We start from the raw sequence: 17,456 nt of genomic DNA on the forward strand, positions 1-17,456 counted from the left end.
TGAAGAGATGTTGAGAGCTGTCAACTTTCCGGCCCAGTGTGCCCCACCCACTGCGTATTTATGCACCGCATCCCAACCCCCCCCCCCATTAACGCCCCTTCAATTCCTTGTATTCCTTTGGAGACAAGTCGTTTAAATTTTTTCTCATGGCATTTCGCCCCTACCTTTCTCAGCTAAGGCTTTGCTAGGCTCCCAAGCTCCCCAACTTTAATTCTTACGCCAGCTCAGCAACCACAGTCCTCTTAGGAAGGTGCAATTGGCAGCAGAGGAGGGAAGTGTCATCTGAGCTCAGAAGCTCCCATTCCAGGATCTTGTCTAACAATCCTTTAAGAGTTGAGTGCCTCCCAGGCCAGGCATCACACTAGGCTCAGTGGATGAAGAAAGATGAACAAGTTTGGGAAGGGGTGCTTCTAAAATGGTCTCAGAACCCACTGAGAGGATCAGTGGGTGGGGGTCGGAGGGGGTGGCGGTGAGACTGGGCTGGCAGGAGCTCCTGCAAGCAGCCTGAGGCCAGCCCTGGGGGATGGCTTTTCACCTGCCTGCCAGAGGCCTTGTATCCACGCTTTGATTCTTTTTTTTTTTTTTTTTTTTTTTTTTGAGATGGAGTCTCACTCTGTCACCAGACTGGAGTGCAGTGGTGCAATCTTGGCTCACTGCAACCTCCGCCTCCCGGGTTCAAGCGATTCCCCTGCCTCAGCCTCCAGAGTAGCTAGGATTACAGGTGCACCACCAGCATGCCCAGCTAATTTTTGTATTTTTAGTAGTGACGGGTTTTCACCATGTTGGCCAGGATGGTCTCGATCTCTTGACCTTGTGATCCGCCCGCCTCCTCCTCCCAAAGTGCTGGGATTACAGGCGTGAGTCACCGCATTCAGCCGATTCATTTTATAAAATCACAAGCAGTGGTTAGGCTTCTCTTCTCCTTAGCGCCCTAGGTTTGCATTTTAGTCTCCTGAAATGCTTTAAAAATACAAACTTTCCGATACATTATTAACTATATTTCATCCCAGGATTAAAAGGAGACTCCAGACAGGTTTGTGCCTGTGCCCCTCTGTTTTGGTGTGGCGGGCCTCCGAGGAGGGCAGTGTAATTGCAGAGACTGAGTTTGAGGTTAGAGTGTTTATGTAAGAAATCAGCTCAACTTAAATATTTCTTGTGGTGCGGTCAGGGCTGCAAACATTCGCCCAGCACAGCAGCATGAATGTCATCTGTTTATTCAACCCTGTGTGGGCATCGATGTTTATGTGAAAGGACCCTGATCGTTTAAAGCCAGTTAATATTTTCAATCATACATCGTGTTGCTTACGCATCTTACAATCGGGATTGTGAAGAGACAAGTTTTCCAAAAAATCAGACTGGTTGCATTTGTATATGTGCTTATGAGCAGACACATTTAATGAATGTTCATTTGGCAAAGTCTTACAATTAAGGATTTTTTTCTTCCAGAGATAATTACATGAGCCCTGATAATTTTCCTCTAAGTCAGCCTCTGATTACCTCCCCGCTTGATAGAGACAACATGTACCAGACAAACAGCGGAGACAGACTCCCTGAAAGAACTGCAAGCGCTCTCTGGGGTTCAGAACAAGCCAACTATATGAGAAGTGATACTTTCCAACTTCATGTCTTCATGGAGTTGGACACCAAAGGATTTTGGGGACCAGGGGAAAGTAAATGGTGAATAGCTTCCCTACTCCTCCCAAGACATTTTAGATTGTGGCTTCATTACTTAGTTTGAAATTTAAATTCCCGGAATATCGGACACCCCCAAACTCAAATGTGAGTACAGAAATGCATTCCAAAGCCAAATGTAAATTCTTTTTAAATTATTCATTCACCTAGCTCCCCATTAGAACAGATAATTGAAGTAGCTATAAATATGCATAAACAGAAGTGACAGAAACAGAAACATCCACATCAAATTACAGATGGACAGAAAAATCCACTTAAGCGCTAAATAATTAGGGAGGAGAGAAGCCAAGGAAGGCGGGAGGCGATAGCTCCGGAGTGATGGGCGAGTTGGGACTATTCTGCAAACAGCCAGAGAGATGGGAGCCAATTTGGAGGGGAGGGAGGGGACCTGGCTGAGAGGAAGGGGCTTGGCGAGGGCTGAGGGGCAAAGCTTGTATAGGGAAAGATAAATCCGTGGTGGGTTCTGGTTTCTGACAAGTCTGAACTCAGAGAGGCAAAAGTGACAGATGGAACCCTGGTCAACATGAAAAAAAGAAAGCACGCTACAGATGAGATGGTGGGAGTCTTCTGGGAACCAACAATCAGAGCACAGGGAAGTGACATCACATCTGCAGCTTCCCACCCCAGGGCTGGGCCCCTTCGCTTCTCTGCGGATGAGCAGGGGGTCAAAATGTTCTTAGAAGCAACTCTCCTGTAGTGGATGGCAATTTGGGAATAAGAATATGCTAACTGGAGGTGGGCAGATCACCCGAGGTCAGGAGTTTGAGACTAGCCTGGCCAACATGGTGAAACCCTGTCTCTACTAAAAATATAAAAATTAGCTGGGCATGGTGGCACACACCTGTAATCCCAGCTACTCAGGAGGCTGAGACATATTTATAGAATCTCTTGAACCTGGGAGGCAGAGGTTGCAGTGAGCTGAGATCACACCACCGCACTCCAGCCTGGGGGACAAAGGGAGACTCTGTCTCAAAAAAAAAAAAAAAAAAAAAAGAATATGCTAATTGGCAAATGGTTTGAGGTTCCCCTATTTAAAAAAAAATAGGGGTTCAAAGCAGCTATTTAGAACCCAGAAGGTTTTAAGGGTTAAGGAATATGATGTTCTCCCAGGCCCCCCCAGTCCTTATTTGCCACCGCAGTGTGTTCCCTTTCAATTGCTCAAAGGTAACCGACAAAAAGAAACTCTATGGAAACCCTAATGAAGTCAGCAAAGCAACCTGAGAATGAAAGTCCAATACTGGCTGCAATATTGATCATTCCTAAGTTAACGTACCTAAGTTACTCATGAAAAGTTCAGCTCTTAGCATAATTTTTTTTTCTTTTGAGACAGTCTCTATTGCCTAAGCTGGAATGCAGTGGTGCGATCATGGCTCACTGCAGCTTCGACCTTCCTGGGCTCAGGTGATCCTTCCCACTGAGCCTCCTGAGTAGCTGGGACTACAGGCATGCACTACCATGCCCAGTTACAATTTTTAAAATTGTTTGTAGAGATGGGATTTCACTATGTTGCCCAGGGTGGTCCCAAACTCCTGAACTAAAGCGATCCTCCCAACCTTGGCCTCCCAAAGTGCTGGGATTGCAGGCATGAGCCACCGTCCCAGCCTCTTAGCAGAGTTTGAAATGGGAGCAGAGATTTGAGCACGTGTCCCCCGTATGTACAGACATCTGGTGGCGGCTGGCAGCTTCTGTTCCAAGCCCAGGTCAGCTGCCTGGTGAGGACTGAGAGTGGAGACTAGATTCTTCAAAAAGCCATCTAAATGAAGGCTCACAGCAATCAGATAACAGTAGCAACAGGAAGTAAGCCAGTCAAGATGGGCATCCAGTTATTTAACATCTGATTCTAACAGTGAACATTGACTGAAAGATTAACATTTGCCAGGGACTATCCCAATCATCTTGCACAGATTCTTTTATTTAATCCTACAACAACCTTAGAAAGTAGGTACGTAGTTGCTTTTTAAAATTTTCCTTCCCCATTTTGTAATTAAGGAAACAGAGACTCAACAAGGTAAGGGAACATGCCCCAGATGCCACCATCCACAAGTGACGGCTGGGACTCAGCCTGGTCCGCCTGACTGCAGAGCCATGCGCAATGCACTGAGCACTTCTGCCTGAATCCAGTGGGGGCTGTCCAGGTTGGGATGAAGCTGTATGCAGAGGAATGAAAGCTTTGAGAGGCTCTGAGGGTTCTTGGACTAGAGCCAACCAAGCTGTATGGTGGGAATTCGAAAGCTCAAAGAGTGAAGAAGCCACTTCTGTAGCAGGTGATTTGGGAAGAGTAAGTAAAGAAACATAGAGTCTGCATACCCCTGAGTGGGGATGACAGTACTAACCCAGACAGACTGCCTGGAACCTCCAGATTGTGTCCAACATGTGTAAGAAGACAGGGACTTTAACATGGAGCTTGTGTCCTCTCATACATGAGCACCAGCCTTGTCACACGGGGGCTTACCTCCATGTCACCATGGGGCAAGTGTCCTGGGAGGCCAGCCTCCCCTCAGCCTCACAGTGACCAATGGACCCACACCAGGCACTGGCATGCAGTGAGCCTACCCCACACACCCCACCTAGAAACCACAGCCCCAATGCTGGTCCTAGAACTGAGGCGTGGGATCAAAGCAGAAAAATCAGTCAACTTTAAAATTGCTAATATTGCCATCCAGACATTTTTTTTAGGAGAATCTTGTTTAAAAATCTGGCAGAGGCCAGGCGCAGTGGCTCATGTCTGTAATCCCAGCACTTTGGGAGGCCAAGACAGGTGGATCACTTGAGGCCAGGAGTTCAAGACCAGCCTGGCCAACAGGGTAAAACCCTGTGTCTACTAAAAATACAAAAATTAGCCAAGTGTGGTGACGCATTCCTGTAATCCTAACTACTGGGGAGGCTAAGGCATGAGAATCACTTGAGCCCTGGAGGCGGAAGTTGGTTGCAGTGAGCCGAGATTACATCACTGCACTCCAGCCTGGGCAGCAGAGCAAGACCCTGTCTCAAAAAAATAAATGAATAAATAAAAATTAAAATGTGGTGGTATTATGAAATCATCTCTGAGTTATTACATCTGAGAGATGAATAGATGTCTTATGGGGTGTGTGATTCAAATTATGACACTTTTAAGCACTTGCCCTATGTATGATACTGAGCCTGGTTCTAGGAGTAAGGACTCCTCGCTGCAGGCAGATAAGCACACAACTTCCATGGAATGCAGAATGGTGATTCCTCCTGTCTTTGTTTCCACAGTTTATAGAGCACCACGATGTGGCAGACCCTGCACCCAGCCCTGAGAATGCAAAGATGATGGGCGAGGTGTCTGCTCTCAGGAGGTTCACTATTGAGTAGGCAAAAGAGCGTCATAGGACCCAAGACAGAGGTGGAGGCAGGGAGGTAGCAGAAGGGAGGAGCCTGGAGCAGAGTCAGAAAAAGCTTCTCAAAGGAAGTGATGCTGCAGAAATGTGCAAGAACCAGACTGGAGGGTGAGGGAGGTGGTGGATGGAGAGACCGTGACCATGTGGATTAGGGAAAGATTCACACAGCTGGGTTCAATCGACACTGGGACGCTAGGTAAATCACCACCTTCCTTCTTCGTGATGGAGTGTAGTATAGAATAATGGATCAGAGTTCAGGTTGAATCCTGGCTCTAACCTTCACTAGCTGTGTGACATTGGGCAAAATACTTAACCTCTCTGGGCCTTATTTGCCTTATCTGTACAATGGGGATAACAACAGCACCAGCCTCACAGCGTTGTTATGAAGGAAGAACTTTGTGAATAAAGTGCTCAGTACTGGGTTTCAGATATGGTACTCATTGAGTGTTAGTATCATCATTATCATGATTACTAATAGTAGTGTTATTTATATTCCTGCTTAGCAGCCTTTAGGAGCTGCTCAATAATTCTTTCATGGGATGAATGAGTTCACCAATTCATTATCAACATGGACATTACCGTTGCCCAAGATGGCAGCAGGAAACAGCACAAAGAGAACCCATGAGCCAGGTGCCATTAAGGAAAGTGAAACTTTGTCCTGAGGTTGGTAGAAAATGGCAATGAAGGATGGGTATGGTCACTTCACATTTGCTGAAACAGGCCCAGGGTTCAATAGTAATGCAGAATTAACAATCTATAAAGTGAAAGGAATAAGGTTTTTTCCTTAAAGACTTGTTCCACCTGCTTGAATGCAGTTGAGACTTGCAAGCCCAAGGGGCTGAATCCAACAAGCTCCAAAGTCTTCAAGGTGGGGAGAAGGGAGTTGGGTGGTGAAACCGAGCCCAGAAAGCTGTAAAAACTTCCTGCCTGGTCTGGGGGTCTCCACCAAAAGCTCCCAGGAGCTATGAGTACAGGCGTGAGCCAAGGCCTCGGTGGGCAGGACACCCCCATGCGCACAATGATTGTGAGGAAAAACCCATGGCGGCTCCCACAGAGGCCCCACCCTGCGGACTCGAAGCCCAACATGAGGGCCAGGCCTGGGCTCCGTGGAACACTGATGAGCATGGCGCCCTGCCTGAGGGCACCCTGACTCTAGAACAATCTCTTCCTCTTTCTCCACCCAAGGTGCCCTTAGAAAAGAGTTGGAGAGAAAACTCATTCCCTGGGGTACTTTATTAAGAAATTGAATCCAGTGTAACTCTATTATTCATTTGCTTAGGATGCTTCTGTTTTAACGGGACCCCGTAGCAGTCACTCTAGGGCAGAGGGGAGGTCATCAGGCCGGCCAGGAGAGCAATGTCAAAGTCACAGCCATTCCCCCACGGCCCACACCACCAGCCTCCCTCCTCAGAGAGACACTCCCACCCAGGCACTGACCCTGCCGTGGTGCAAGCAGAAAAAGGTGTATTGAACTTAGCAAAAAGAACAGCCAGGCGCGGTGGCTCACGCCTGTAATCCCAGCACTTTGGGAGGCCGAGGCAGGCGGATCACGAGGTCAGGAGATCGAGACCATCCTGGCTAACACAGTGAAACCTCGTCTCTACTAAAAGTACAAAAAATTAGCCGGGTGTGGTGGCGGGCGCCTGTAGTCCCAGCTACTCGGGAGGCTGAGGCAGGAGAATGGCGTGAACCCGGGAGGCGGAGCTTGCAGTGAGCCAAGATGACGCCACTGCACTCCAGCTTGGGCGACAGAGCGAGACTCCATCTCAAAAACAACAACAACAACAACAACAACAACAACAACAAAGCTCTGACGAGGTGTTCCAGAGGAAACGAGGAATGTGAGGCACCTTTCGCCTTCCTGGTTTGGCCAAGACTTCTCTTAGTCGCCTTCAGAGTGAAACTCAGGGTTTTCATAACAGCTTTGCTCTCTCAAACCCTAGACCACCTGCAACTCTGAACTATGTCTCCTCTGATCCACTGGTGGCCAAGGAGTAAATTCCGACAGAAGCTGGTGTTTCTGCTGCTCCAAACCCCCAACCCCAAATTGGCATCTGGAAGTGCCCCTTCCCGCGGCTCTCTCTGCCCAGCACCGTGCCCTCCCTCAGCCGGGCCCCTGGCCTCCCAAGCATAAAGGTCCCATGCCAGACCCAGCACCTCCGTATAGACACTGCTCATGGCAGAGGTGGCCAGCTCTTCCAGCCTGTGTTTCAAACATCACCCCAAGAATGCAGAGACTCTGATCCTTGGAATGCAAGCACAAATTCACTCTCATTAGGCTGAATTTGTATTATGGTTTTCACAATTCAAGTGTTTCTTGCGTTTGTGTTATAAAATTAAAAATATATTGTCAAGAATATCATTATCAGCTGAGCACAGTGGGCCACGCCTGTAGTTCTAGCTACTCAGGAGACTGAGCTGGGAGGATCACTTGAGCCCAGGAATTCGAGGCTGCAGTGAGCTATGATGACGACGTCTGTGAATAACCACTGCACTCCAGCCTGAGCAACATAGTGAGATCCTGTTGCTTAAAAAAAAGTAAGTAAAATAATACAATAAAATAAGAATATCATTGTCATTCTCAACCACAAATGGAATCATTTATTTGGATTTCAATTGTATCAATGAAGTTTACTTCATACAATTGCAGTCTAGCTCCTTTTTTAAAAGCTCTTTATTTCCATAGCAAAAAAAAATGTGTAAAAAGTTAAATATAGAATTACCATATGACCCAGCAATTCTACTCCTAGGTATATACCCCAAAGAATTGAAAACAGGGACTCAAACAGACACTTGAACACTCGCGTTCATAGCAACATTACTCACAGTAGCCAAAAGCTAGAAACAACTCAGGTGTCCCTCAACAGATGAATGGATAAACCAAACGGGGGACAGATAGACAATGGGTAAAATTCTGACATGTATTACAATGTAGATGGGCCTTGAAAACATGCTCAGTGAAATAAGCCAGATACAAATGGACAAATAGAATATGATTCCACTTACATAAAACGTCTATAATTTAGGCAAATGAATAGAGATAAAAAGGAGATTGAAAGTTATCAGAGGGGGCTAATGGGGAGTTATTGCTTAAAGGGTACAGAGTTTCTGTTTAGGGAGATGAAAAGGTTTTGGGATTACATGGTGGTGATGGCTATGCAATGTCATGAATGTATTTAAATACTTTGGGTTGGGCCGGGACGGAGGCTCACGCCTGTAATCCCAGTGCTTTGGGAGGCCAAGGTGGGTGGATCGCTTGAGGTCGGGAGTTCAAGACCAGCCGGGCCAACATGGTGAAACCACGTATCTATTAAAAATACAAAAATTAACCAGGTGTGGTGGCAGGTGCCTGTAATCCCAGCTACTAGGGAGGCTGAGGCAGAATTGCTTGAACCTGGGAGGCAGAGGTTGCAGTGCGCTGAATCGTGCCACTGCACTCCTACCTGGGCAACGGAACAAAACTCCATCTCAAAAAAAAGAAAAATACTTTGAGTCGTACATTTAAAAATGGTTAAAACAAGCTGAGCATGGTGGCATGTGCCTGTACTTCCAGCTACACAGGAGGCTGAGGCAGGAGGGTGTCTTGAGCCCAGGAGTTTGATGCTACAGTGTGCTATGATTATGCCACTGCACTCTAGCCTGGGTGACAGAGTGAGACCCTGTCTCTAAAAATAAATAAACAAATAAATAAATAATGTTTTAAACTGGTTAAAACAGTGCATTTTATGTTACATATATTTTTGCTCAAAAATTGAAAAAATAAGGATTTTTGTTAGTATTTCAATTTTTGGCTACTAGAATGATTAACATTTTTATTGGCTATGTTTAAAGGCATTATAATATCATTTATTTTCAACATACTGCCCCAAATTTGAACATCTTTCAAACGTAGCTGGGCAATGGCAGACTGGCTAGAATTGCCCTTTTTGGGGAGAGCAGATTCAGAAGGAGTGAGGGTAGAGCCTCAACAGCCTGGCCTTCTAGCCAACTCTCTGCTTCCTGCCCATACAACCTCAGTCACTTATCCTCACGATGCCTTGGTTTCCATGTCATATAATAATAATTGTGGCCGGGTGCAGTGGCTCATGCCTGTAATCCCAGCACTTTGGGCAGCAAAGATGGGAGGATCACTTGAGCCCAGGAGTTCAAAACCAGCCTGGGCAACAAAGCAAGACACTATTTCTGCAAAAAAATAAAAAAATTAGCTGGACGTGGTAGCACACACCTGCGGTCCCAGTTACTCAGGAGGCTGAAATGGGAGGATCATGTGAGCCCAGGAATTTGAGGCTACAGTGAGCTATGACCACGCCACTGCACTCCAACCTGAATGAAAGGGGGAGACCCTGTCTTCTTAATAATAATAGTAATAGTAATAATAATATAGTTTTATAGGGTTACCATGAACATATTAATAAAATGTGTTACAAATGTAATGTGTTTAATACAGTGCCTGGCAGGTATTAAGTGCTTATAGTTAAGCTATTCTTAATATTATTATTACAGAATTTAGTTTTTTTAGTGAGTGATTGGGATTTTTTTTTTTTTTTTAGATGGAGTCTCCCTCTGTCACCCAGGCTGGAGTGAAGTGGCATGATCTCGGCTCATTGCAACCTCCACTTCCCAGGTTCAAGGGATTCTCCTGCCTCAGCCTCCCAAGTAGCTGGGATTACAGGTACGTGCCACCACGCCCAGCTAATTTTTGTATTTTTAGTAGAGACAGGGTTTCACCATATTGGCCAGGCTGGTCTCGAACTCCTGACCTCAAGTGATCCACCTGTCTCGGCCTCCCAAAGTGCTGGGATTACAGGTATGAACCACCGCTCCTGGCCTGATTTAACAGAGAAAAAATGATTAAGAAGCACTGATAATTCCAAAGGAAAGAACTATAGGGAATGGCTTAAAGGCCTACAAGGAAACTCTGTACTGGGAAGTGAGAAAGAGCATGAGGCTCTCCTGAATATACCCCAGTGGCATGTTGAAGGTGTCAGGTCTGAGATGAAATCATTCTGCGAGAGAAGAGTGTGCTGAGCATAGAAACAGTCTCTCCACATGAACAGACCTCTCAGCCTGTGCAGCTTCTGCTTCCCAGGAGCTCAGCCCGTGGCAGAAGTTTTCCTGATGCAAAGATTTCACTTTCACTATTAGGCTGTCACTATGCCCTGACAGCTTCCCAGGTGTGAGTTACAGCTACTGGTTTGAGGTTATTTTTTTTTTTTCTCTACGTATCGTATAGGACTCGGCCCATTCCTGTGAAGAGAGCACATTTCTTGCTTCCCTTAGTCACTACATTGGTGTCAATGTCAGACACTCTGTATTAGGGACCAAGGTTCCTGAAGAATCCTGGAAAAATGGGGTGGGGGTGGAGAAGGCAGTGGCTGGGAGTGAGAATACATGCTCTAAGGCCAAGAGTCCAAGAGGACACGGACGTCCTCTCCAGCCAGGCCCTGGTCAGACCAAGGACACATCCAGGGGTGGAGAGTGGAAGACCAAGAGCTCCCCATGAGCCAAAAATGAATAAATTGTTTCTAAGTAAAAGTGATAAAAAATGATGTGATGATACACTGATCATTGAAGGCGAAGAGGAGAACTTAGGAGATTTTTAAGTCATAACTATATGCTAGGACACCCTGGAAATTAATTTTCCAATTCAAAATATTTTAATTCTGGTATAAACGTTCATGAATTATTATTTACTGGGTACAGAGTTTCAGTTGGAAAGGATGGAAAAAGTTCTGGAGATGGATGGTGGTGACGGTCACACAACAGTGTAAATGAGCTTAATGCCACTGAACTGTGCACTTAAAAATGGTTAAAATGGTAAGTTTTATGTTGCATATATTTTGCCATATTACAGTTTTGGGTCTCGTTCTCTTGGCCTGGGCTCAAATGACCCTTCCGCCTCAGCCTCCTGAGTAGCTGGGACCGCAGGTGTGCACCACCTTGCCCAGCTAATTTTTAAAATTTTTTGTAGAGATGGGGTCTTATTATGTTGCCCAAGCTGGTCTCGAACTCCTGGGTTTAAATGATCCTCGCACCTTGGCCTCCCAAAGTGCTGGGATTACAGATGGGAGCCACCGCACCTTGCCAAAAAAAAAAAATGTTTTTAAGTACATTCGTTAGCACACCTACAAAACTTTTGACTCATCTGACACAAATTTGTCACTTCATTCTTAACCATATTATCTCTGCTGCTTAAGTGAGCCCTGGTTCTGACGACCTGAATTCTACTCAAACTAGTTATGCGACCTTGAATAAGTCATCTCACCTTTCGCTAATCTTTGTATTTTTAGTAGAAACAGGGTTTCACCATGTAGGCCAGGCTGGTGTCGAACTCCTGACCTCAAGTGATCCACCCACCTCAGCCTCCCAAAGTGATGGGATTACAGGCATGAGCCACCACGCCTGGCCTACAAAATGAAACTTTTGAAAAAAAAAAAAAAAAAGTCTGTTACCATCTTTTGCAGTTCTGATATTCTAGGTTTAATAACAACTGCCATTTATGAGAGCTTACAGGCTCTCTGCTGCACATCTTATAAGCATTACCTCATTCACTACTCTTGAGGAGGCCATGAGGGTGGTGTGATTACCCTCATCTGAGAGAGAGACTGAGCCTTACAGAGATCCAGGGACTTGTCCTTGACCAGTGAGCAAGTGGGTGGAGTGGGCTATGGACTCTGGACTGGAGGAGCCCCGAGCCCGTGCTCTCAGCCGCTGCTCAGCCCTGCAGCAGGAAGAACATCTGAAGCAAACTACAAAGAACTTTTCTCCCTGAAAAAGCGATTAGCCCATAATAGAAGACCTAAGTCCAGCAAAAAGAGCCGCCGTTTCTGCTGCACTTTGTTTCCTACTGGGTGACGGATGGCGCTGTCATCTCTTCAGGGAGGGAGGCTTACAGACAGGCCAGCTCGTCAGCCTGCTGGCTCCTTCAAAGTCAGGTCTTCACAGTAGGTTCCTTTATTTCTGTCTCAACAAGTTGAAATCCCCTCAAATTAGACACACACTTTTCTTATGTAATTAAAGTACAGTGAGAAGACAGGCATCATTTTAGATTGTGCTGACTCCTATTTCTCATCATTAATACAATCAAGAGTTGACTCTCCTGCGCTTCCAGACCTTGAAGCAGACATCAGCTAACTCTCAGGATGCAATGAAGGTTCACTGACCTTCAAATATTCTCTAAGTCTGTTTTTAACCACTATTCGTTCTGTCTCTCTAAGCCACGGCAAAAATCAGGGCTCTGCCCAGTGACCGTCAGCCAGAGAAGCAGGAAGAAATGCAAGAAGAGGCAGCAAGAGTACAATTGAGCCTTGGCTGCCCATGGGGTATTTACCTTCCTTGACTAAAATTGTTGAAAATCAACCTAGATATTGATAACAACAACAATAAAACCACCTTAGAACATTCGTACAATGACATTATGTGGCCATTAAGAATGAAGGAGATCGCTAATGGAATAAATCATTGTCTAAATCAATGACAGAGCTTTGCAACTTGAAGCCAAATAGAGCAATCATCTTGCAGAGATAGAGATGGATTTGAAAATAATATTAGGTCTTTAAACAAGGAGCATCCAATGCCACAACTAACAACCTGGGAAAATAATGGCGTAGGACTCAATAGGGGAGTAGCTCAAGTGCAAATAACAGAAATCTAAACCCAAGCTCACCTTTCCGCTCAATGCCACATTGGCTAAAGCTCCTTACCAGAACTCACAGAGGTGGAACTGATAGTTGTAATCAGAACTCCACTGACTAGCATTCGTATCATTATGTATTTATGCATAAGATACACACACGCACATGCACACATGTATAGCCTTCATTTTCTCATCAGGATTCAAATATTCACTCTCTTTTTTCCCTATAAATTCCAATTTTTTTTTTTTGAGACGGAGTCTTGCTCTGTCGCCCAGGCTAGAGTGCAGTGGTGCCATCTTAGCTCACTGCAACCTCTGCCTTCCGGGTTCAAGAGATCCTCCTGCCTCAGCTTCCTGAGTAGGTGGGATTACAGGCACGTGCCACCATGCCTGGCTAATTTCTGTATTTCTGGTAGAGACAGGGTTGCACAATGTTGGCCGGGCTGGTCTTGAACACCTAACCTCAAGTGATTCACCCACATTGGCCTCCCAAAGTGCTGGGATTACAGGCGTGAGCCACCACGCCCGGCCAAAATCCAAAATTTGAAAGGCCTTTTGCTGGTAACGTTAAACGTAGATTTCTGCATTGGATACTATCTATTGATAACGAAGATCTGTTACCTGGAGTGGGTAAAACCAGGTAAGTAACACTGTATCGGTTAGCTATTACTGCAGGACAAATTACTCCAAACCTTGGTGACTTACAGCAGCAACAGTCACTTATTATTTTTCATAGTTTCTGTAGATCAGAAATTTGGAGAGGCCCAGAGGGAGAACAGTTTTATTTCTGCGCCACAATGTCTGGGGGCTCAGCTGGAAGTCTGACAGGTGGGAACTGGAATCCTCTGAAGGCTCATTCCCTCACTTGTCTGACCACTGATGCCATCTGTCAACTGAGAGACTAATAGGGTTGTTGGTTGGAACACTCACATATGGCTTCTCCATGTGGTCTGGTGGCTGGGATCCAAGGGCAAGCATCCAAAGATGGAGAGAGCCAGACAGAAGCTGTATCCTTGTTATGACCTAACCTGGAGGTCACCCAGCACTGTTTCCACCAAACTTCACTGACCAAGCTGATCACAAGCCTCTACTCAGTTTTAAAGGGAAGGAACATCAACCCACATCTTTGTGGGATGAACATCAATCACACCCTAAGAAGAGCACATAGATGGGGATACATCTATAGGTAAGACCTTCTTTGGAAAATACAACCTTCCCATACAGAAAGCTGCCTTCTGTAGGGATGTCCATGATGCAATAAGTTATAAACAAGAGTCTTAGGTGGATCCTAACAGATGAATGGAAGAATATTTGGTTTCTGGTAACGTGGTGGGAGACGAGATTAGAAAGGTATGTAAGGGGCCAGGAGCAGTGGCTTAGGCCTGTGATCCCAGCAATTTGGGAGGCCAAGGTGGGGGGATCGCACAAGCTCAGCTTGGGCAACATGGCAAGGCCCTGTCTTTACCAAAAATTAAAAAATTAGCTGGGCATGGTAGCATGCTCCTATAGTCCTAGCTACTTGGGAGGCTGAGGCAGAAGGATTGCTTGAGCCCAGGAGTTTGAGGCTACAGTGAGCTATAATCATACCACTGCCCTCCAGCCTGGGCGGCAGAGCCAGACCCGGTCTCTAAAAAAAGAAAAAGAAAAATATTACGATATGAATGTGGATCATGAAAAAAAAAATTTAAGAAAAGAAAAATACGGTAGCACCAGGTTTCAGAAAGTCCAGAATGACACATTAGAAGTGTGGGCTTTATTCCGGGGGCACTAGCGATCCATAAAAGTGTTTCTAGCAAAGATTGCCTCATGGCCCTAGAGAAAATGGATTAGAGAAAGGAGAACCAAGAGTCAGGGAAACCAATTGGGAGTTATTTAAAGTGGTCTAGGTGAGGGCCGGGTGCCGTGGCTCGTGCCTCTAATACCAACAGTTTGGGAGGCCGAGGTGGACGGATCATTTGAGGCCAGGAGTTTGAGACCAGCCTGGCCAACATGGCAAAACCTCATCTCTACTAAAAATACAAAAATCAGCCAGGCGCGGTGGCTCACACCTGTTATCCCAGCACTTTGGGAGGCTGAGGTGGGCGGATTACGAGGTCAGGAGATCGAGACCATCCTGGCTAACATGGTGAAACCCCGTCTCTACTAAAAATTAAAAAAAAATTAGCTGGGCATGCTGGTGGGCACCTGTAGTCCCAGCTACTAGGGAGGCTGAGGCAGGAGAATGGCGTGAACCCGAGAGGTGGAGCTTGAAGGGAGCCAAGATCGCACCACTGCACTCCAGCCTGGGCAACAGAGCAAGACTCTGTCTCAAAAAAAAAAAAAAAATTTAAAAATAGAAAACAGTTTATAAAATAAGGAGTTAAAGATAGAAAATGTTTTTGTACAGCTGTACAGTGTGTTCATATTTTAAACTAAGCGTTACTACAAAAGGGTCAAGAAGTTAAAAAAATTAAAAGTTTATAGAGGCCAACTCTGGGCATGCTGCCTATGGGTTAGCCCTGCTCTGCAAGGAGCAGTACCAGAAAAAAAAAAAAAGTTTATAGAGTTAAAAAGGTACAGTAAGGTAAGGTTAATTTATTGCAAAAGAAAGAAAATATTTTTAATAAACTTATTGCGGCCTAAGTGTACAGTGTTTATGAAGTCTCCGGTAGTGTACGGTCACGTCCTAGGCCCTCACATTCACTCCCCACTCATCACTGACTCACCCAGGCAACTTCCAGTCCTGCAAGCTCCATTCATGGTGAGTGCCATGTACAGGTGGACCATATTTTACCTTTTTTTTTTTTTTTTGAGATGGCGTTTCACTCCTCTTGCCCAGGCTGGAGTACCGTGGTGCAATCCCGGCTCACTGCAACCTCCACCTCCCGAGTTCAAGTGATTCTCCTGCCTCAGCCTCCTAGGTAGCTGGGATTACAGGTGTGCACCACCACACCCGGCTAATTTTTGTATTTTTAGTAGAGATGGGGTTTCACAATGTTAGCCAGGCTGGTCTTGAACTCCTGACCTCAGGTGATCTGTCCATCTCGGCCTCCCGAAATGCTGGGATTACTGGTGTGAGCCACCATGCCTGGCCTTATTTTACCTTTTATATTGTATTTTTACTGTACCTTTTCTATGTTTAGATACACAAGTACTTACCATTGTGTTCCGATTGCCTACAGTATTCAGTTCAGTCACACGCTGTGTAGGTGTGTAGCCTAGGAGCAATAGACTATACTGTATAGCCTAGGTGTTTAGTAGGTTATACTGTCTGGGATTGTGTAAGTACATCCTACGGTGTTTGCACAGAAATGCCTAGCGATGTGTTTCTCCGAACATATCCCTGTCATTAAGTGATATATGATTGTATAGTTTTGTATCTGTAACCGTACACATACAGTATAAAGCAGTTTGCCTTAAAATTACACTTACTTAACACATGGCTATACAATTTTATAAAGCATTGATTTTGCTTATAAACCCCACAAGCGGTCGGGCGTGGTGGCTCACGCCTGTAATCCCAGCACTTTGGGAGGCCAAGGCAGGCAGATCACAAGGTCAGGAAATCGAGACCATCCTGGCTAACATGGTGAAACCCTGCCTCTACTAAAAATACAAAAAATTAGCCGGGCATGGTGGCGGGCACCTGTAATCCCAGCTACTCGGGAGGCTGAGGCAGGAGAATGGAGTGAACCCGGGAGGTGGAGCTTACAGTGAGCTGAGATTGCACCACTGCACTCCAGCCTGGGCGAAGGGCAAGACTCCGTCTCAAATAAATAAATAAATAAATAAAAATAAACCCCACAAACTTCCTCCTTCAGCTTCTTCTTCGACTGGTTTTGAGTATATTGCTTGAATATATTACTTTGGTCCCTCTGTTTTTCTTTTCTGACTGACTTAACCCTTAGCATAAGCCAAAATCACTGAGCAAATTATATCCCTGGTTCTCTAGAAAACTTGATTGATAGTTGAACTATGATTCAAGAGTTCTAAATATTGATGGGAGGAGAAGGCAGAAAGTCGCAGGCATCTCTAAGAATCTGATGAAAATTCACAGCTAGTATGGCACTCTCAGGTGAGATTTTTGTCTCATTAAATGGGAAATAGCTTTGGGGTACTGGCTTGAGTCACCAGGGTCATATGAATCAGCTGTAAATTGTCACCTGGATTAGGTCAGAGGGGTCATAGGTATCCCTGGCCCTTGAAATAAGGGCTCTGTCTGACTTAGGGCAGTCACCCATCTCTTTGAACTTCAGTTTCTCAAAATGAGAATGACAATGATGAAAACTGCCCTCTGGAAGCAGTGTCCTGAGGTGCTAGCCATCCGTTTGGAAATCAGTATTCCCTTGTGTGCACAATCAAAACAAGTGTAACCTGTCTGTTCCACTGACTCTTCAGAGGTTGCTTTTACCACTAGGACTTGTAGTTTAGTTTACCGTTGAATTGCTTTATTTAAACTCTAATCTAGTTATATAAACACACTTCAGCACAATTTATAGGCTTGCGATTCTTTCTATCATGGCTGGCTCTTTTTTTTCTTCCTGAAACAAACTCTTGAGTCTAGACTTTGTCAGGTTGATACATGAGTTTGGGGACTGTTTATACGGAAACCATATACACATTCCAGAAACCTGCCTTGTTACTGATCTGCAATAAAGATGATAAGCCTTTGACTCATAAAAAGACACCCACGATATCCTTTGAAGTGCAAACCCTGATCTACTACTGAAAAGGGGCACAAAGAGATTCCTCAAAACTGGCCTTGTTGCTTTAAGAAGAGGTGACTA

At 45.4% G+C, this 17,456-nt stretch overlaps 1 long non-coding RNA gene across 1 annotated transcript in view, besides 1 other annotated feature; it reads right to left on the reverse strand.

The window, feature by feature from the left end:
• Positions 1 to 17,456, reverse strand: part of LOC124901432 (uncharacterized) — a 62,877-nt gene that overhangs the window by 20,376 nt on the left and 25,045 nt on the right. The window lies entirely within an intron of this gene.
• Positions 10,264 to 10,558: a silencer, noted in NCBI's record as "tiled region #10334; K562 Repressive non-DNase unmatched - State 21:Repr". NCBI's record gives its function as "represses a minimal TATA promoter and a strong SV40 promoter by Sharpr-MPRA in K562 cells {active_cell/tissue: K562}" and the evidence as "EXISTENCE:reporter gene assay evidence [ECO:0000049][PMID:27701403]".

This window comes from Homo sapiens, chromosome 6, assembly GCF_000001405.40.
Source record: "Homo sapiens chromosome 6, GRCh38.p14 Primary Assembly".
Taxonomy (NCBI): domain Eukaryota; kingdom Metazoa; phylum Chordata; class Mammalia; order Primates; family Hominidae; genus Homo; species Homo sapiens.